Source organism: Homo sapiens, chromosome 1 (genome assembly GCF_000001405.40).
Source record: "Homo sapiens chromosome 1, GRCh38.p14 Primary Assembly".
Lineage (NCBI taxonomy): Eukaryota > Metazoa > Chordata > Mammalia > Primates > Hominidae > Homo > Homo sapiens.
The window spans coordinates 201,093,251-201,113,708 of record NC_000001.11 but is presented as its reverse complement, the minus strand read 5'-3'; the positions used below and the strand labels follow the sequence as shown (position 1 = coordinate 201,113,708).

Here is a 20,458-nt window from a genome sequence, read left to right as displayed (position 1 = left end):
CTTCTCCTGGGTTTGAGCAATTCTCCTGCCTCAGCCTCCAGAGTAGCTGGGATTATAGGTGCACACCACCACGCCCGCTAATCTTTGGTATTTTTAGTAGAATGCGGGTTTCACCATGTTGGCCATGCTGGTCTCGAATTCCTCACCTCAAGTTATCTACCTACCTTGGTTTCCCAAAGTGCTGGGATTACCGTGGCTATCCTCAATGAACTTTTCTTTTTGAGACAAGGTCTCACTCTGTCTCACTCTGTCATCCAGGCTGGAGTGCAGTGGCCAGATCTTGGCTCATTGCAGCCTCAACCTCCCAGGCTCAACTGATCCTCCCACCTTGGCCCCCCTAGTAGCTGGGACTACAAACACACACCACCATACCCTGCTAATTTTTGTATTTTTTGTAGAGACAGAGTTTCACTACGTTGCCCCGACTGGTCTTGAAGTCCTGAGCTCAAGCCATTCTCCCACCTCAGCCTCCCAAAGTGTTGGGATTACAGGCGTGAGCCACCATGCCTGGCCTCAGTGAACATTTACAGGGAGCATAGTACATAGGGGGACTGTGCAGAGAAGGGGCCAGAGTCCCAGAGATAATGCACACAACCTTTACACCTGTAGGGATGGGAGGAGATGGGGAAGAAAGATACACAGCAGATGCTCCACAGTGAGGCAGGTGCTATGCCAGAGGTGTGCACACTCAGGGTTGTTCTGGGAGCCTTCTAGCCCACTGGAGAGGGGTTTACTGTTTCTCTGACATGGGATTGCTTGTGGGGGTGGGTTGAGGGTATGCTTGGGGAGTTTTGGCTGATGGTGCAGATACTGAGATGGGTAGGGGCTGCTGTGGAGCTGTCCTGACTTAGGCTGCCCAGTGCCTTCTCCAGACAATGTCATGGGGCTGAGGAGGGGTAAGCCTAATTTTGGCATGAGGGGGCCACTCTGCAGTTTGAGGTTCCATATCCAAGGCTACCTATTCCTGACCTCTGTTGCCCCAGGCTTGAAACCTTCCATCCTGTCTCCCTCTCCCACTGCCCCTGCCCCATCCCAGGCCTGTGTGTAAGTTCTTCCCCCGACCCACCCCACCCTCCTCAGGGGACAGATTGGGAAGTCACTGGCTGGGCTGGGTGGAATGACAGCTGCCTGGCCTCAGAAGCTCAGGCCCGGCAGCGGGGAGCCGAGTGGAGGCTAATTTTACTTGCTGGGAGCGAGGAGAGTAATCCTCCTGCCCCCACTCCTGCCCCCGCCCCCTGGCTGGCTCAGCAGGGCAGGCTCAGCCGACAGCCTCAGCCAGCCTAGTCCCCAAGGCGGGGGCATTGGGGACACAGGGAAGGGAAAGCACTGGGGTGGGGGAGCAGGAGAAAGCCAGATTCCCAGGGAAGCCATGGAGCCATCCTCACCCCAGGATGAAGGCCTGAGGAAGAAACAGCCCAAGAAGCCAGTTCCTGAGATTCTGCCAAGGCCACCCCGGGCCTTGTTCTGCCTGACCCTGGAGAACCCCCTGAGGAAGGCCTGCATCAGCATTGTAGAATGGAAGTATCCTTCAGGGCCCGGGCCGTGGGGGGGGGTGTGCGTCATGAGGGAGGGATTCGGGGTGATCACAGAGCACAAACTTCCTACAGGAGGGCCAGGGAGGCCTGGCACTTAGACATGGGGTGAACTCACAGAATTGAGTGAGGAGCTGGGGGAAGGAGCCCTCGGCTAAGCAGGAGAGGAGGAGGAGGAAGAGGAGGAAGACGAGGAGGGTGGGGGAGGAGGAGGAAGAGGAGGAGGGTGGGGGAGGAGGAGGAAGAGGAGGAGGAGGAAGAGGAAGAGAAGGAGGACTTGGTGGGGCTTCCTGGGCCTGAGTGGGCCACCCAAGTCCTGGATGACAACCAGAGATGCCTACTGACCACCTATGGGTGGGGCCTGTTTCATGGGGACTGTTCCCATGTGTGCCCAAATCCACATTATCATGGGGTGCCACTAGGTTTTTGAAGCACCAGCCTCATTTTAGAATAGGATAGGGACCAAAAAAAGATGCGATGGCCTCTTTGAGAAAACTCTCCCTTGTTTGGGTTGGGTGGGGGGTGACAGTGGACAGAGGTGAGCTGAAGGAAGGCTTCCTCTGGGGGCAGGTCCCAGCTGAGGACAGAGCCAAGGGGAGAAATGGATCTGAAAGACACCTGGTCTCAGTGGCTCCAAGACACAGGCCAAACAAGCCTGGTTGTTCTAGCTCAGACGTGCCACCCTGGGGACAGGGACTTTGAAACTCATGCTATGTTTGCATTTGCTCTGGTGGGGAGAATGATGAAAATATCTGGGTTATTTGGGGAAGGGAGGAAGGAGTGACAGAGAGAAGGGGAGGGCTGTGTCAAGTGGGTTCTGAGAGCGAGGGTGGGGCATATTTGAAATATTTCTGAAGAGTTCTGGAAGGCTGGGCTCCTACCAGCTGTTCCCTAGAAGGAAGGAGAATGAGGGATAACTGGAAGGACAAGAGAAACGTGGGGCAAGTAGAGATAGTTTGGGGTCAGGGTCAGCCCTGTTCCCCTGACCCGCTCTCGGCCAGGCGGTATATCGCCCACATCAAACCCTCCTAGGCCCTCCCTCCTTGCCTCTCTTCTGCAATCAGGTTTACTCTGTGGGTTCTCCCTCTCCTCCATCCTCTGCTCCTCTGCGCCCTGCCCCTGTGGCCCTCCTCTTTTCTCAAACACTGGAGGTTACTGGGAAGAGAATGGGATTTTTCTGTCAAGCCCAACTACGTAATATGCCTCCCCATCCACCCCCAAACAACTCCCTCGCTTCCTCCCTTGCTTTCTCTAGCTCTTTCCAGACTTGCTGCCTAATGGGCCAGAAAGTCGAGAAAGCCATGGGCCTGGGGTACCCTCTGGAAATGGCTGTGGCGGGGTGGGTGTGTCTGGGAGGGGTGAGGTGTGATGGGTGTGAGCACGTGCACACCAGCATGTGCACATGGCTCTGGAAATTCAGCATTCATCTCTCCATCTCTCCTTCCCAGTCCTACTCAGTGAGTTCTCAACCTTACCCTGCATCAACCCTTACCCTCCCATGCCATTTATCTGGGTAAGCCTCTGTGGATTGGCCAGAATCTGCCAAAGTCATGGCTCCTTGGGAGCAGGCAAGGGCATGGACAGGCGCTGAGAGTGGAGCGGTGTGAAGACCCCCTAGGCCTTAAAGCTGAGGAGCCCTCAGCCAGGGACCAGACCTTTGCCATTCCAAGGAGTCTACATGAAAGTGACTTGTTCCTGAGGAGAGGGAGCCAGAGGTCAAGGCAGGAACCTGGTCCTCACTGTACCCTGCAGGGGCTCAGGGAAGGAGCAGCGTGGGCGAGCGTCCATGAGCCTGTCCAGCAGCCTGGCATCAGAGTCACAGTCCAGACTGACCCTCAGCGCCCTCATCCCCTTAACCCTGTAAGTCCCTTGCCTCACTCGAGGGCTCTCCTTAACCCTGGCTCCAGGCCCTTCGAGACGATCATCTTGCTCACCATCTTTGCCAATTGTGTGGCCCTGGCCGTGTACCTGCCCATGCCGGAAGATGACAACAACTCTCTGAACCTCGGCCTGGTAAGATTGGCCCTTCCATCTCCCTTCCTGCGAGCCTGCAGCCCCAGGCTTGGGGAGGCCCCCTTGGTGGACTCTGTTCTGGGGGATGGTGCCGGTGGTTCAACTCCCTGACGATGCAGGCCCTGCATCCCCAGCCACCTGCAGGGCTGGCTGAGTGGCTCAATGGGTTTCCAGGGTCAACCTGCTTATTCCAGATTCTGATACTGTCAGCCAGCACTAAGCACGCACTCATTGGTCCCAGGCACTGTGCTAATACCTGATGAGAGTAAATTCATTTAATCCTCACAACCAACTCATAAAGTGGTTCCATTTGACAGATGTGGAAACTGAGGCTTAGTAAGGTCAGCTAGTGAGCCACAGAGGTTGAATGCTAATTTCTCTTCCCCAAATGTAATTCATAAGAAACTTGTGTCCACTAAGTTTGCCTTCATGGGAGAGTTTTATCCAGGAATCTGAAGCAAGGACATGTTTTAGAGTTTTATAATACCACTATCTCTTCACCCCTTCATCAGTAACACATACCTGGAACCATAAAATGCCAGGGCTGGAAGGAATATTCAAAAATTAAGCTGTCCTACCTCCTCCCCACCTCATTCTGTTTTATGGATGAGAAAACTGAGACCTAGAGAGGTTCAGGGACTTACTTACTCAATAGCTAATTAATAATAAAAATGGCTAGCATTTAGTAAGTGCTTATTAAATGCCAGGATTTGTGCTAAATATTTTACATTATTGTATTATTTAATCCCTATAACTACTCCTGTGGGGTAAGTAACATTATTAGACCCATTTAAAAGACAAAGGAGACTGATATTCAGAGAGTTTAGGCACATTACCCAGGGTCACCCACATCTATATCTTGTGGTAGGGCCTCCAGCTTGGTCTCTCTGATTTTAGAACCTCTTTTTTTTTTTTTTTTTGAGACAGAGTCTCACTCTGTTGCCCAGGCTGTGTGATCTCGGCTCTCGGCTCACTGCAACCTCCGCCTCCTGGGTTCAAGTGATGCTCCTGCCTCAGCCTCCCAAGTAGCTGGGATTACAGGCGCCTGCCACCATGCCCAGATAATTTTCATATTTTTAGTTGAGATGGGGTTTCGCCATGTTGGCCAGGCTGGCCTCGAACTCCTGACCTCAGGTGATCCACCAGTCTCAGCCTTCCAAAGTGCTGTGATTATAGGTGTGAGCCACCACACCTAGCCAGAACCTGCTCTTGTACAGGCTGTGTTGCCAAGGTGATGGGTGACGGCAGAAAGACTTCTAGGGGAAGCCCTCTTATAAACAGTGGCCTCAGGCTCCCTAGGGGACAGAACAATGGAACCACCTTTTCAACAGGGCTTTTTTCCTGCACTGAAACTGCAGGGCCTGGGAGGGAGGAGGCATATTTGCATGTGTCCAGGGCCTGACACATCTCTGCCTTTCCTTTATGCTGGTTTCCATGGGAATCTATCTTGAGCTGATGGGAAGCTGGGATTCTAAATGTGTGCTTGCTATGAGGGGAAAACACTCTGAGCTCCTGAGTGTGGAAGGAGAGTGGGATTAAATGTTGGCAGGGCCAATGCCACCTTTGCCGGCAAGGAAGGCATTTCTTAAACTCTGGGCATTCTACACCATAGGGTTAGTCTCCATGTCCCTGAATGCAGGGAGAGCTCTAGGTCTACCCCACCCTTCAGGATTTCATATTTTTGGGCCTCAGTTCCCTGTGACATTGACTACTTTTGTAAAAAAACTCTGCCCCACCTTGGAGGATATTAAATTTTACCTCTGCTGGATGCAGTGACTCATGCCTGTAATCCCAGCACTTTGAGAGGCTGAGACGTGAAGAAATCTTGCATCCAATAGTTCAAGACCAGCCTGGGCAACATAGAGAGACTCCCGTCTCTACAAAAATTGAATTAGCGGGGCCTGGTGGTGCATGCCTCTTGTTCCATCTACTCGGGAGGCTGAAGTGGGAGGATTGCTTGAGCCTGGGAGGTCGAGGCTGCAGTGAGCCAAGATCATGCCACTGCACTCCAGCCCGAGTGACACAGTGAGACCCTGTCTCAAAAAAAAAAAAAAAAAATTACATCTTAATGGTTATGTCATCTTCCATCCTGAAACAAAATTGGCTCCCTTAACTGTTTCACGTGGTCCTGTGTATGTTTTTCTTTAGTTTGTGGGCTGGAGTTGCAAAACCTTGGGTTAGGCCTAGAGTTCATAGAGACAGTATTATGAGTTCCCTGCAAGTCGGAAACCTAATCAGAAATGTTTCCAAAGCAGCAAATGCCACCTGGCATGTCAGAGCTCTATGGGAAATGAATGCTCAGTGAGGACTCCTAACCTGACCCCTTAATTGTGAAGCCCAGAGAAAGTCGGTGATACCCAAGGTCGCTCAGCCACCTTCGAGCTCAGGGGTCCTCACTGTTCATGTCCACAAAACCCAGCAAGAGGGAGATGAGAGGAGTCAGAGTAGAAAAGGGCAGTAGGCACTCTCTCTCTTGCCCTATTGGCTGCTTTGTAGGTAGCAGAGAAGGGTTGGGGTCTTTCCAGTCATCCAGAATAACCCGTAGCTTTCAAGAAAGGAGGCCTAAGGTTTAATTATTCATGACCTTTCTCATTCATTTAACGAATGCATCTTTAGTGTCTATCACATCCCTGGCACATACTGGGGATATCACTGTGAACCAAATAGACACATTTCCCATCTTCACAGAGCTTCATTACATGGATTAAACAAGTAAATATAATAAAACCAATTAAACAGGTAGTTAAAATGAAATGGGAAAGGTTCAAGATTTGGGGATATTATGGTAGCATATTGACAGAGAACCTAAGCTAGTCTTGAGATCAGGAAGGCTTCCCCAAGTATGGGATGTTTAACCTGAGACCTAAAGGTTGAGGACAGGGACAGCTCACACAAGTGCCACCTATGCAGTCCCAGAGGACTCCCACTCAGAAGGGCCCCACATTTGGGGTTGAATGCTCTGTGGTCAAAGTATTGAGATTTTAATTAATTTTATCTTTGAATTTATGATTTGTAAGTGAAGTCCATTGGGACAATGGCACATGCACCTCAAGCTTGGAACCTTGGCTCACAAAAGGTCCTGACTTCTGCCATCTCCCTGCCTCTAAGGAGGGGCTCTCAGCTTGATGTTTTGCCCTCTGGGGTCCTGGGCCACTTGGCAGAGGCCTGAGTGGGAGAATGGGAAGGGCCGTGTCTCAGGGAAGGACATGGCTCTGGTTGTCTCTACCCTGGGCTGACATTGCTGCAGTCCATTCAGTAAATGACCTATGAGGTTGAGCCTCCAAGGCCCTCCCCGATTCTGGGTACTTACTGTTTCCCAGGAAGCAGAGATTGCAACACCCTTGGGTGCCGGATGTCCACTATGGGTTGAGGTGGTGGGTCTGAGTGAAGGGGAGATGCCTGGCTCCACACCTCCACCTCTGGCCAGGGCACAGGATGTCGGGCTGTGGGATGGTGAGGGTGGAGGGGGAAGATTAGGAGGAGGCGCTTGTGGCAATCTGCACTTGCCCTGCACAACACTGAACAGCAATCAAAAGACACCACAGTAGGCTGAGAAAGGGGCTGAAAGAAAGGGAAAAGCTTTATATTTAGTACCTTCATCAGCACTCATTTCCTACTGTTTGAACGTGGGGGCCCACATTTTCACTTGTACTGGGCCCCCCATTATGTAGCCTGGCTGTGAAGGAGCGCATTGTAGAAGGCCAAGCGGGAGAGGGGATTCTGGGCAGAGGAAGCCACGTGGGCAAAGGGCTGGAGGCAAGAGACAGAGAGGTCAGGGGGGGATTTAGAAAAATCTCTCAGGCCCCATGTGGAGCATGGATTGGGGTGACGTGGGGTGAGATGGGAAGCAGGGAAGGGGGCAGGGAGCCCAGGGAAGTCATCCAGGCAGGAAACAGGGGAGGCTGGGCCAAGGCACTGGTGATGGTAAAGATGGCTGTGAGGTGGCCTTAAGAAAGACCTGCCAGGTGGAATCCATGGTGAGGACTGGAGGTGGGGATGGAGGTGTGGGGGAGGGGGAGGATGACACTTGGGGGTCAGAAGTGGACAGAGCAGATGGCAGTATCACTTACCAAGACTGCAGATGGGGGTAGGGAGGAGGAAGGTGGTGAGTTCAACTTCAGATGTGTGGTGATACAGGTGCCTGTGTCCACTGATGGGTAATTGGATTTGCAGGTCCAAGCATTTTATGACAGAGGTTTCCTCACTTTGGCACATGCCAAACTGGCTGGGTGGGGCAGGGGCGGGGATGGTTGTGGGCAAGAAGGGCTTCCCTCAGTTGCCGTGTGTGCGAGCAGGGCCGGGGGTGTGACTGCTGTCTGTGGGAATAGGCTCCCTTGGCAGTGTCCCTCCATATCCCTTCTGCCAGCACTGGCTGAGGGTAATAGACTTGGGGCCCGGGTTTCCTGGGGCTAGAGGTACACCTCTGACTCTGCCTGCTCTGTGTCTGTGGGAAATCCCAGGATCTTCCCTGAATAGAAGAGGAAACTGAGGCCCAGAGAGAGCAAGGAGTCCTGGGAATGAATATGCAGCTGATCAGAGGGTGGCAAGAGGAGGATCCAGGATGCTGACATCCTGGCCAACTGTGGGATGTCACAGTGGCACGGGCCTCTGAAATCAGCCCATTATGGCATGGTGGTTATAAAAATGGGTTCTGGAGCTAGAATCTGCTTTTGAGCCCAGGCCCACTCACCTACTAGCTGTGTGATCTTAGACAAGTTATGTAACCTTTCTGTTCCCTCAGTTTCCTCCTTTATAAAATGGGGATGATATTGTATACTTGAGAGAGGTAACTGGATGAGTGAAGACCTTCTAAGTTGTAGTGCTTTATCTATCAACAGAAGGAACTTTGATCATGCAGGCCCCACAGAGCAGGCTCACCAGCCAAAAAGCCTATAGTCACAGAGACCCCCAGGTTGTTCTAGATTCAAAGGGTCTAACCCCCAACAGTTATGCCAAAGGATTATTTCAGGTAAAGAATTCCTCTTCACCCTGCCCATCGTTTGTCCCTGATTTCTCTTTAACTCTGTGTCTTCTCTCCTTGAAACCCCTAACTTTTCTTAATGGCTTTCCTGATCACCCCTCCCCAGTCCTCCAGCAAATCAGCAGCAGCAGCAGCAACAATGACATTCAATATTTATCGATTACTTGCATATTGTCAGTCACTGTTCTAATGCCTTATATGTGTTATCACACTGAATGCCCATGAGGCAGGTACTTTTATTTTTCTCATTTGTACAGAGGAGTAAACCACAGCGCAGAGAGGTTAGATCACTGCACATGCCCAGGTGGCTCTGTGGGCAGGCCTACATCCTTTATTGGGCAGGGTTACCATTCCAGCCTAGGCCAGGCTGAGGGGACCAATGTGGAAAAGCAAAAACAATTATCAGACTTCCTAATTGTTGGGCAGACATGATAAACTGATTGCTTTTGCTACATTATCTCATTTCACCCTCAAAGCAATCCTATGTCAAAGTATGATGTTCAAAAAGTGAAAACACAACTGTGAGTAAAATATCCAAGGAACACATATCAAAGATTAGTTCAACTCAAAAGAGAACAAGCAGGCGTGTGAAGCTGAGTTAAAGGGAATTAGAGCAGCAGAAGTTATGACACCGGAGAGAGAATGATGGAATAGGATTGCTAGGTTAGATACCAAGCTGGTTAATGTCCTACAGGGCAATAAAACTCTAACCATTGGGGTTATCTTCCTATCAGGCAGAATTCATTTGCATCTCTAGAGGACAGAATAGTGAGAGCTAAACAAAGTTACATTCCCTCCTAGGTCAGTGGTTTTCAAGGGATTGGGGAGGGGAAGTAGTTCTGCCCCAGAGGACATTTGGCAACAACTGGAATTGTGAGGGGGAGGGGCAGGGGCGGAGATGTGTCCTACTAGCATCTAGTGGGGTAGAGGCAGGGGCCCTGCAATGCACAGGACAGCCCCCTCCCACCAACAAAGAAGTATCCAGACCAAAATATCATTAGGGCTGAGGTTGAGAAACCCTGACCTGGATAATTAGATAATCCTTGGCCAGGCCTGTTATAAAATGCTCCAACATGATATTACAAAGATATGGCATCCTTTCTTTGCTTTATTTCCAAGTTCTGGATAATTTAGATTTTTCTTAAGTAGATGGTGCCTGCTCTCCTCGAGGGCAGGGCAGGGCAGGGCAGGGCCTGGCAAGCTCTGCAAGATGGCTGCCCATTTGGCCCCTCCTGGGCTGCAGGGTGGCTTCCCACCCCTCAGGCATCAGCAGGCTCCACCAGGCCCCTGTCGCATTCCTGGGGTTCAAGTTGCTGCAGCGTCCTCCACGAGGCTGGAGCCTAAGCCTCTGGCAGCCAGGGCGTTTGTCTTTTTATAGGGTCTGGAATGCGCTCGCCAACTCTTGTGGCCAGCAGCCCATTCCCCTCGCCATCTGGGGAGGCTGGGGCCTCAGAAGGACCGCAGCTCTGGCCTCACCCCTTAGAGATCCAGGACCTGCAGAGCACAGGGTGGTTTGAGCCTGGGCCACTGTACAGAGAAGTGATGGTGCTCCAAAAGGGTCTGTGGAAATGAATGAAAGCCTGGATTTTAGACCCACCTGGGAGCCTGCCCTCCCACCACTGCAAGAACTCAGGTCCCCTTTCAGGGCACTTAGATTCTCCCCCGCCCATCCCAACCCATGCCCCTTCACACCAGGCACAGGGGCTGCAGACACTGTAATAGCTGAACAACAGAAGCCTTGGAGGAAAGCCTTGGAGGAAAGCCTTTGCCCAAGCTTTGCTAGCTCCCTGGGGAGTCGCAGGAAAGGACGGCCTCTCAAGTCAAACCAACCTGCCTCCAATCTAGACTGGTTGGCAGCTTCCTAAACTCTCTGAACCTCCATTACCTCATCTGTGAACAGAGGACCACAATATCTTTCTTTCTTTTTTTTTTTTTTTTGAGACCAAGTCTCCTCTGTCACCCAGACTGGAGTGCAGTGGCACGACTTCACCTCACTACAACCTCCACTTCCCAGGTTCAAGCAATTCTCCTGTCTCAGCCTCCCGCATAGCTGGAACTACAGGCACACGTCACCACACCTGGCTAATTTTTTTTTGTTTTTAGTAGAGACAGGGTTTCACCATGTTGGTCAGGCTGGTCCACAATATCTTTCTTTTCAGGACTGTTATATCCATGAGTGCAACAACCTCGTGTCTGACCTGGCACACAAGAGTTGCTCAATAAATGTTCATTCCCTTCCTTCTCTGACCTCCCAGCACTAACAGCCCACAGCTGAAGTCACACTGAACCCAAGCCTCGGGGGGCAAAGACAGACCTGGGGTGGATTGAGGGCGGGATCTGACAAATGTACCCAGGTGTCCCAGGCATACTGTATCTTTCTCTCCCCTCTGCCTGGCATAGTGGTTGAGACCATGGAGTCTGGAATCAAACTGTCTATACATATCATGGCTCTGCCTCTTGGTAGCTATGTGATCCTGGAGAAATTAATCCCTCTGTGCTTTGGCTTCCTCATCTGTAAAATGGGATAAGAGTACCTACCTTAGTCGGCTGTCGTCCGAAGCTAGGGAGGATGATGATGGACTGCTCCGCACAGACTGGGATGCGTGTTGGGTATGGGTATGACTGTATGTCCACTCTCAGTGGGAGCTGGGCAACACGGAGGAGTTGGTGGTCCTGTTGCTTGCTGATGGAAATATGTCGGGCCTTCCTTTTCAACTGGTTCCTCTATTGGGCCCAAGGGTTGGGAGTAGGAGACAGTATCCGAGGCTGACGAGGGCCTGCCTCTTACCTTGGGCACCTCGTTGTTTCCGGCCTGTACCCTTCCCTACCTTTGCCCTCCCAGTGGTTGTATGTGGGAAGCCCGTCTCAGTTCCTGTGACCTATTCACCTTGAACCAAGGAAGAGTGTCTGGCCTCTGCTGTGACACTGGGATCCGAGGCCTTTCCCTGCCCAGTCTGGAGCCTGCCCCACACTTCACCAGGCACTGGACTCCAGGAGGACCCCCTCCTCCCCCTTTCTTGTCTTCAGGTCACGCCACCCTGTGCTGTATCCAGCACCACAGAAACCTCAGTGTTCGTCCTCCACTGGGCTCGGAGGCACAAGGAAGCCTTGGGGTGTGGTGAAAGACTGTTCTTATCTAGAGTTTACTCCCAGGCCAGGGGACTACCGTCTTCTTCACACACATCCTTGAAAGAGAAAGCCCCTTTGGGGCAGAGAGGTGAGGGCTTCATCTCAACATATGCTGATGGAGGAGGGGGGATGCTTTTTCTTTTCTTCTTGTACTTTTTTTTTTTTGGACTTGTTAGGAGTTAATGTTGCAAAGAGTAGCTTACATCTTCACTTTCTGAAGACACTTGAATTGAGGACCAATGTAGCTGTCATGGCAAGGGCCATCGGGGCTGGCCACCTCACACCCACCATCCTCCCATGGGGCTCCAAGACCTGAGACACAAGGCAGCAGCCTGCCCAGATCCCCCTGTTCATCCTGCATGCTCCCAAGGTTGGTCCATGCCAGCACAAACTTTGGGCATCAGACACCAGAAGGTGTGTGTGCCTCGGCCCTGAAAGGTGCGAGTCTCTCTCACCCTCTCCTGCATCTGGGAGCAGATGCATTGCCAGTAGAGGAGGGCCACCCGGCCCTGCCCCAGCCGGGACCCCTGCAGCTCAGGTAGAGGTGCCGAGCCCCTGTGTCAAAGTTGCTAAACGTTTTACTTTTGTTCCATCCTAGCTCTTTTTTCCTCTTCCCTGATTATTGATTTTATGAAAGATACATCTCAGAAGGCCCTGGAAGTGAGAAGGAGGGGCAAGGAAGATGACTAGTTATGGAGGGTGAGGGTTGTTTTTTGTCAAAAGCCTGAGTAGAGTTATCTGGGTTATGTGACACCCTCCGGGATGGAACCCCAGAGAACCTCCTGTGTGGAAAGGTCCCTGGATTTTCCCCAGCCCGCAGCCTCTCCACCTTCAGCCATGTTCATTCATGGCAGAGAAGATAAGAATTTTTAAGAACTTATTATAGCCCATTTCTCACTAGAGAGGAAAACTTATCTGGCTTTGTGGAGAAATTTCCATCTTACACTCATAGTACATGATCTTTACTACATGCTAGGACATCACATTTAAAAGGACATTAAAATAAAGAAATGTAAAACGCTTGGATGAGCTTGTATTATGACATTAATACTATTGAGAGTATCCGCTTTCTAGGCTAAAGAGATTCATTCATTCTTCTATTACTGCGTTAGCCCTTTGTAATCTGTGATGATTATTTTTCTTTTTAATACAAAAATGTATACAAATAAAAACTTGAAAAGGCAAAAAAAAAAAAGTACTTACCTTATAAAGTTTCAGTGAGGATTAAATGTATGCATGTGGCCAGAATAGGGCCGGGCTCATAAGCGGGTGCTTACTAAAGCTTAGCTATTATTATCCTCATTACCCAAGACAGCACTGGTCTCCCTTTCTCTCCCAGCCCCCTTCACCCTGAGCATGCAGAGCCCTACTGGGACCCTCAGCCCCATTGTCCCTCTGTCTAGTCAGCCCTGGTGTGTCTGGCCCACCCAGACCTGAGGGAGCTTGGTTCCCTGGTAAGGGAAGTGCTGTACAGGGAGGGGAAGAGGGAACTGGAAGAGGGAAATGAGACCCCTGAGACAGAGGTAGGATGGCAAGGGATACCCATTCCAGTTACGTCTATTTGGGTGAGCGTTCGTTGGGCTAAACATAGCCACTTCCCTCACTCCTCAGCAGGTCATCTTCCAAACCTGGAGGCTGAGGTGTTTGTGGAGATGCCAGGGCCCTGGACACCCAGTGTGCGGCGTGGCCATAGAGGCCAGCACATCAGGCCGGCCTACCAGAAACGCTGTTGCTTCAGTCACAGCAGGCAACGCCTCCTTGCCTTTAGCAGACACCTCATTCCCCTCTAAGTCTCACTTCCAACCTCTGTGAAACAGGAAAAACAGCACAGCCGGAGCAAACCTCCGTCCACAACTGAGGTGTGCAAGAAATGACTTATTTTTTCCTGTGAACCAACTTTCCATGGATCCTGAGCACATATCCCTCTGGGATGGAGAGGGATCACTGCAGCTATTCTGGTGCTTTCAGTTATCCCGCCTGCCTGGGGAATGTGCCCAGGCCCTGGGTCTCAGGCAGTGTGCAGGTGACAGGGTTATAGGTCCTCTGCACCCTTCTTAAGGCAGGAATCGAGGCTGGGTCCTGCTTTCTTGGGGGTCCCAGGGCCTCCTCCCAGATCCTGCCACACCTTCAAACTGTGAGCTCTACCCCTGAGACTTCCCAAAGCTGCAGTGATTCTCAGGCTTTGAAAAACAAAAGCCTGGGGCCCTGCCACAAACCCATCCTGAGGCAAGGGGGCCCAGTCCAGCTGTCAGCTTAAGGGAACAAGAAAGTGAGGGAATCCGGGAGGAAAGCAATCAGGAATATTGTAAAACTGTCTTCTAATAGTAGCACCTGCCAAGCCTGTGTGGAGAGCTTCCTGTAAGGTTCCTAAGAGGGAGGGGACATTTGAGGATGTCTGTCCTCCACCCCAGCCTGAGCTCCCTGCAAGCACCCTGGGCTTCCTCCTCCTCAGCCAAATCCACCTTGCCTCCATGCAGCACACGTGCCTTAAAGAGTTAACAACGAATATGAGTCCATTGCCTCCCTGTCCCAGTGAGATTTATGCCTGAGCAGGTCACCATGCCTTGAACCTAAAGAAGGAGATTTTCAGGCCCAGGTGACAGGCAGTCATGTGGTGGCAGTGCACATTCCCAGGGAGCCCTTCAACTGCAGCCACTTTGCTGCCTCTGCCAGCCCCTTCCCAGGCCAGCCCAGTAAGGTCCTTTCAGTGAGCTCTGTAGATCCCAGAACCCTCCAGCGGGGCACATGGGGAGCCTGGGAGCCTGGAGTCCTGACCAGGCCACTGTGCTAGGGGTAGGATTGCAGGGGAAGAAGGTGTGGTATCTGCTGCCTCTGTGGTCCCAGATAGGGAGACTAGAGCTGGGCAGATCCCTTTGGAGGAAAACCCAACCAGCTCTCATCATCTTCCCACAAAGCCCCATGCGGGCCAGGGGAGGAGAAGTATTCAGGACTGGCTGACCCTTGGAAATAGCAGACTCAGCCTGAAAATAGAGGCAGTGGGAGGGTGAGGGGATGTGCGGTCCCAGCCCTGCTTTTTTCAACCCAAGACTCTGGAAGTACCTGGCTCCAATGCCCCTGGGAGCAGGTGCAAGGCCTGTGCATCAGGGGTCACACACCACGCCAACCTCCAGCTAAGTTTGGCCCCAGGGAGCACCAGTTAGAGGCTTGTCTATGGAAGGATGAGAATTTCCTTGAAGGGGACATTTAATAATAAAGGCCCTTGTTGGGGGGTGAGGTAAGGGAGCTCTCACCTCACGAAGTTGGACGGGCTCACTGTCCTCCCCTGAGCTCAGAGATCAGGGGGTCAGGGACAGCCACTGCCCTCCTGCTCTGGGGTCAGAGCCTGAGGTCCAGTGTCTCTTCTTAGGAATGCAGATCCCAAGGCTGCACCTGGTTCGAAGGTGAGCAGAAATTGTGACTTTCCATTGTTCATTTATTCAACAAACATAGCCTGAGAGCCTCCTGTGTGCTGGGCAGGATGACGCATTCTATAGCAGAGCTTCTCAGATGATCTGTAGGGAAAGACCACAGTTCGTCGTTTTTAATTTCTACTCCATCATGGCCTGATACATGGTCCTACTGCATGGGTGTACTGCATTGATGACACTGTTCTCTTCGTGTGTGTGTGCCAGCTGGGATTTGCCATGTGACTTTGACAAACCCAGAATGGTCTATAGTCCACCCACATGCATGGAAGTGGCTGCAGATTGCCATAGAATTTTCCAAATGCTTACTCAATGCCTACACTGACCTCATCTCAGAGTGATATCGACGGTGTGCAGCCGCACCTGCCCACAGCCTGCACCTCTAGCAGCAGTGCCCCGGGACACTGGTTCATTTATTCCATCACAGACTTTCAGGCACTGTTCTAGATGCAGTTGACACAGCAGTGAACAGAGCTAAGTCCCTGCTCTCAATGATGTTATATTCAGGTCAGGAGAGATGGGTCAAATAAATTAACAAATATATAGCGAGTCAAGTTTTGACAACAGCTAAAAACAAAAACAAATCAGGCTAAGAAGATAGACAGTTGGGGGGTGAGAGCCAGGAAGGTCTCAGTGATAAAGTGACCTTCAAGTTGGGCCCTGAAAGAAAGAAAAAAGTGAGTCATGAGGATATCTGGGGAAGAACATTGCAGGCAGAGAGAACAGCAAGGGCAGAAGCCCTGAGCCCAAAATATTTTCATCTGTGTCGGGGGACCATATGTCACTAAGGGAAGGGCATCAGAATCACCAGTTGGCGGTGCCTTCTCAAGCCATAAAACCTCCCCTCACCCACCACCAGCAGCAACTCCGAGAGGGCTTCTTTGGAGAGTGACCCTGGCCCCCAAGCCCAAATGCTATTACTGATGGGGGAATGTCACCTGTTCTTGGGGCAGAGAAGCCATGGAGAATCCCCACAGTTAGAAACACATGTGAGGATGACGTGGCCTCAAGGAAGCTGCGGTCTGTCAGGAGGCAGCAAAGAGAAGCACAGGGTTATAGGGGACAGTGAGGACACAGAGCTGGTGCTCCCTGTGGGGGGTCAGAGGGTTGTAAGAGGCAAGAGGTCTACTTGGACAGTGGGCCTCAGGGACACTCTGGGCAGAGGGGCCGGGATGAGCAAAGGTGGAGGCTGGGGCAGCTAGAGAGCTAGGGGACCTGAAAGTCATTCCACATGATTGACGGGGTGGCCAGCAGGCTGGTGACGAGGCCAGAGGGGTCAGCAAGGGTCATGTTATGGAGGATCTTGCATGCCACGGAAACGCATTTGGATTTTTCTGGTAGGTGTTGTGGAGCCATTGCAGACTTGCAAGCAAGGCAGTAGCCGGGTCTGTATGGAGAAGGGCTCGGGGGAGGAGACGTGGGTGGCGGTGGACCACTGCAGGCAGGGGAGAGCAATCAATGGCAGGGGCAGTTGAAGAGGAGGAGCTGGATGCAGGAGACGGTAGGGGTGGAATGGCCCGGACCTGCTGGACACTGGGACCCGGGGAGAGCAAGAGGGAGGAGGAGTCCAGAAAGACCCTGGAGGTTTCTGGCTTGGGCCACTGAGTGCCTTTGGCTGAGACAGCGACACATGAAAAAGAGCAGGTTTATCAGGAGAAGGAGTTCCGTTTCAAACATACTGAGTGTGAGGTGGGTCGAAGCCAAGCCCTGGTGACCACCCACAGACATGACATCAAACAACAGCTCTGTGAAAACCAATAGAACATAATGGAAACCAATAGAACACAGTGTAGGCAGAAAACAGACCTTCACCAAGGGCCCACGTGTCTCATAAGAATAGCTGTGATGTATTCAGCATTTGGTGCATGCCAGGCAGGGGTAGACACTTACAAGGTGCCATTTAATCCTCACCATGACTCTTCAAGGTAGCTCTCATTATTTCAGATTTACAAATGAGGAAACTGAGGTTCACAGAAGCTTAGGAACTTGCCCAAAGCAGCAGAGCTGGTGAAAACCGTCACACCATACATCTTCTGCCTCCCACCTGCCCACGATGGATGCTTGGGGGTGTCACAGGAAATTAGGATGTTTTAGGAAGGTTGGTGACTTTGATCTTGGGGAGACAGCCAGGTCTTACCCAGGGCATCCAGTCCAGAGCTTAATAAATATCTGTGGAATGACTATCCCTCATTTTTCCATGGAAGACTGAGCCCAGGCTGCAGAGGCTGTCAGCCAACCCAGTGTGACATTGATGACACTGTTCCTATGATGCAAGAGGGGACACATCCCTTTTCCCTCTCCTCCGGAACGGGGGCTCACACTGTGTGCACACACAGGGATTGTATGGTACTGAGTTTTAATTCCAGGCACTCCAGGGTTGGGCTGGAGGGAGTATGGTGGAAAGAGGCAGGCCTTGGAGCTAACAGGCTGAGGAAACTGAGTGACCTCATCTGAAGCCCACAGCCCCTGACAAGCTCTCTCTGAGCCAGGCCGCAGCCAGACAGGCAGTGGCAGGTGCAGGCAGTTCTCCGGTGTTCATGGCTGGCCGCCCAGCCTGTGAGCACTGAAACTATTTCAGGTCCTGTTTTTCCTTGCCTCAACCCCACTTCTGTCTATCCCTCTGGGGTTGCAGCAACCTGAAATTGTAAATGCTGCCTTGACTTCACTCTCCTCCCTTACACTTTTTCCTTAATGGTGTGCCTGACTCCCAGGAAACCTGTCCTACAGAGGAGGGGAGACCACTCACCCAATTCCAGGGAGATCCCTCCATAGTTGCTCCAGCCCGCTCCTCTTGCCAGGGAGGGTGCCAAGACCTCCCTTTGCAGCTCTCCTCCTTGGAGCAGCTGCCCCACGATTCCCCAAGAGTGCCAAGCACAGTCTCCATCAACAGGCCCTTTCACAGAATGGCATGGCTTTGCATTTTAATCATCACATTACCATTTTCTGGAAGAAGGGGAAAGCTTTGGGATCACAAATTAATAGAAGGAATGAAGGGCAAAATTAAGAAAAGCAAGTCTAGTCCTTGTATGTTGCAGTCTTCCCTTCTATCTGGAAGGGGAAAATCATGCTTTCAGGAAAATTCTCTGAATGACAAGTTTGGAGGTTTCTGGAGCCATATCCACAATAGTGAGCCATTTGGGGACCTCTTCCCTTGCCTCCCATACCTACTCACTTGGAAGTAAAAATAAATTATCTTCCATATCATTAATGGAGTGCCCAGTTCCCCAGTCTGGCTCCGCAGTTAAGGAACTGTGAATATGAATGACGCCTCCGCAGTGTGCTGATGGGGTGGGCCCCTGGTCCCAGGAGATGCTTCCATGGGTGTGAGTGTTGCAGACTAATGGTGATGGGGGCTGGGTTGTGGGGGTACAGACCCCCTTGTGTAACTCCAGAGAGCACCAATCAGGATAGATCTGTATGTGTGTGTATATATATACACACGTACATATGTATGTGTGTATATATATATATGTATATATATGTATACACACACACACACACACACACCTCCTGGAGCTGTGCCGTGCTGCAGGCTGGCCTAGACTGCAGGCTGGGTCAGCACCCCCTCGGGAGGCTGTGCTAATCTGGGAAGGCCTGGAGGCCAGAGCTCTTAGAAGCTGCCAAGCCAGGGTTCAGATGGCTGCAAGGAGAGCAGTTTCAGCCTGGAGTCCTGACAAGAGAGACTTGCTTCCTCAGTTAGAAATAGCTCTCACCTGGGCCCAGAAGAGGGGGAAAGGTGATGGGGCCAAGGATAGGGTAACCCAGAGGATCAGGCTACGGGGACAGGTCCTGGAGTGTCGGCCGGGCCTTCTGCAGGGTGGGGCTGAGCTGAAACCTCAGCTTCTTACCTGTGTTCCCCACACACAGTGTACCCCACACTCCACTCACCCTGCGTAATAGTGTCACGGCCTTTAAGGGGCTGCCTAAAGGAAGCCAATGTGAGGGCAGGTGGGACGGGCAGGGGACCCTAAAGGAAAATGAATTAAAGAGCAACACTGCCCAGCAAGGGAAGGCATCTGGAGTTCTGAGTAATCCACCCCCGTCTCCTACCATCCATCCCCTGCATGGTGAGAGAATAAAGGTGCCAAAGCCAGAAACCACCTGGGGACTTTCATTTTGGGTACCTCAGATCCTTCATTTATTCAACCCATTCTAATATCTGGAAGTCGAGTAATGAAAAAAAAATGGACAAAAATCCCCATGCTTCATGGAGTTTATATTCTAGTGGAGAAGATAGATAATGAACAAGATTTTATATGTATAATATATATATAGATATGGTATTTAAGCTAAGGATAAGTGCTAAGAAGACCAAATTAAGCAGAGGAGAGGAACATGAAATGCTGGAGATGGCTCGCATTACACTTAGTGGCCAGAAAAGGCCTCAGTGAAGGAATTTGGAGTAAAGACCTGTGGAAAGTGAGGGAGTGGCAGTGTGGGGGCATGTAGGTGTGGAGTGGGGGGGTAGGCATTCCATCAGCAAGTGCAAACGTCCTGAGGTGGGCGTGCCTGAGCAACAGCAGGGAACCCAGCACGGCTGCAGGGAAGAGAGCAAGGGTGCACTCAGAGAGCACAGAGGCATGCTGTGACCACGTTTGCTCCCACAGGAGAAGCTGGAGTATTTCTTCCTCATTGTCTTCTCGATTGAAGCCGCCATGAAGATCATTGCCTACGGCTTCTTATTCCACCAGGACGCTTACCTGCGCAGTGGCTGGAATGTGCTGGACTTCACCATTGTCTTCCTGGGGTGAGAGCTGGGTGTGGGGAGACTGAAGGTCAGACCCTCGCTGAGGACTGTGTGCCCACTGCCACCACCACCAGCATCTTAGAGGTGGGGTGGGACTCCAGCATTGTGCTAACCACTGCATGGAGCAGCCTCTGTTAGAGGCCGGCCCAGCAAGGGAGCTGTCCATGTTGGTGGAGAGTGGATCATTGCCCCCGACCCTGCCCGCAGGTCAAATCTCCTTCCCCTGCTAGATGCTATAAATTCCATTATCCTCCTCACATCACACAAATTTGGAAATGATATGGATGTTTCCACTGGCCAGCAGTTTCTGGATGTTCATAAGTTTCTCAGCCTCTGTCATTTATTAGTTTATTCCACAGACCTGTATTGAGTACCTGTTATTTGGGTTCACAAAAACGGACATTTATTAACCTGTATTAGTTTGCTAGGGCTGCCATAATAACATTCCACAGATTGGGAAGCTGAAACAACAGGAATCTATTTCTCACAGTTCTGGAGTCTGGAAATTCAAGGTCAAGATGCTGGCAGGTTTGGGTTCACACAGTCTCTCCTCTGTGCCTGTGCATCCTTGGTGTCTCTTTGTGTGTCCAGAGTTCCTCTTCTTATAAGGACACCAGTCAAATTGGATGAG

General features: G+C 51.5%; 1 protein-coding gene and 1 long non-coding RNA gene across 3 annotated transcripts in view, besides 3 other annotated features; one reads left to right on the top strand and one right to left on the bottom strand.

The window, feature by feature from the left end:
• The window catches only part of CACNA1S (calcium voltage-gated channel subunit alpha1 S), a 72,915-nt gene continuing 53,739 nt past the window's right edge, over positions 1,283–20,458 (top strand). For both annotated transcript variants that reach the window (XM_005245478.4, NM_000069.3), the window contains exons 1-3: positions 1,283–1,521; positions 3,440–3,545; positions 19,688–19,827. In XM_005245478.4, the coding sequence (XP_005245535.1) occupies positions 1,370–1,521; positions 3,440–3,545; positions 19,688–19,827 (398 nt within the window). In that variant the 5' untranslated portion in view covers positions 1,283–1,369. The remainder of the gene's footprint in view (positions 1,522–3,439; positions 3,546–19,687; positions 19,828–20,458) is intronic.
• Positions 9,334–9,850: an enhancer, noted in NCBI's record as "H3K4me1 hESC enhancer chr1:201072987-201073503 (GRCh37/hg19 assembly coordinates)". NCBI's record gives its function as "activates a minimal SCP1, AML or CMV promoter by ChIP-STARR-seq in primed H9 embryonic stem cells {active_cell/tissue: H9 hESC(primed)}" and the evidence as "EXISTENCE:reporter gene assay evidence [ECO:0000049][PMID:30033119]".
• Positions 11,597–12,096: an enhancer, noted in NCBI's record as "H3K4me1 hESC enhancer chr1:201070741-201071240 (GRCh37/hg19 assembly coordinates)". NCBI's record gives its function as "activates a minimal SCP1, AML or CMV promoter by ChIP-STARR-seq in naive H9 embryonic stem cells {active_cell/tissue: H9 hESC(naive)}" and the evidence as "EXISTENCE:reporter gene assay evidence [ECO:0000049][PMID:30033119]".
• Positions 12,097–12,598: an enhancer, noted in NCBI's record as "H3K4me1 hESC enhancer chr1:201070239-201070740 (GRCh37/hg19 assembly coordinates)". NCBI's record gives its function as "activates a minimal SCP1, AML or CMV promoter by ChIP-STARR-seq in naive H9 embryonic stem cells {active_cell/tissue: H9 hESC(naive)}" and the evidence as "EXISTENCE:reporter gene assay evidence [ECO:0000049][PMID:30033119]".
• Positions 15,071–17,960, bottom strand: LOC124904481 (uncharacterized). The gene is made up of 2 exons (XR_007066788.1): positions 17,827–17,960; positions 15,071–15,167 (listed from the first exon to the last, which is right to left on the bottom strand). It is a non-coding gene; the product is annotated as an uncharacterized LOC124904481 (long non-coding RNA).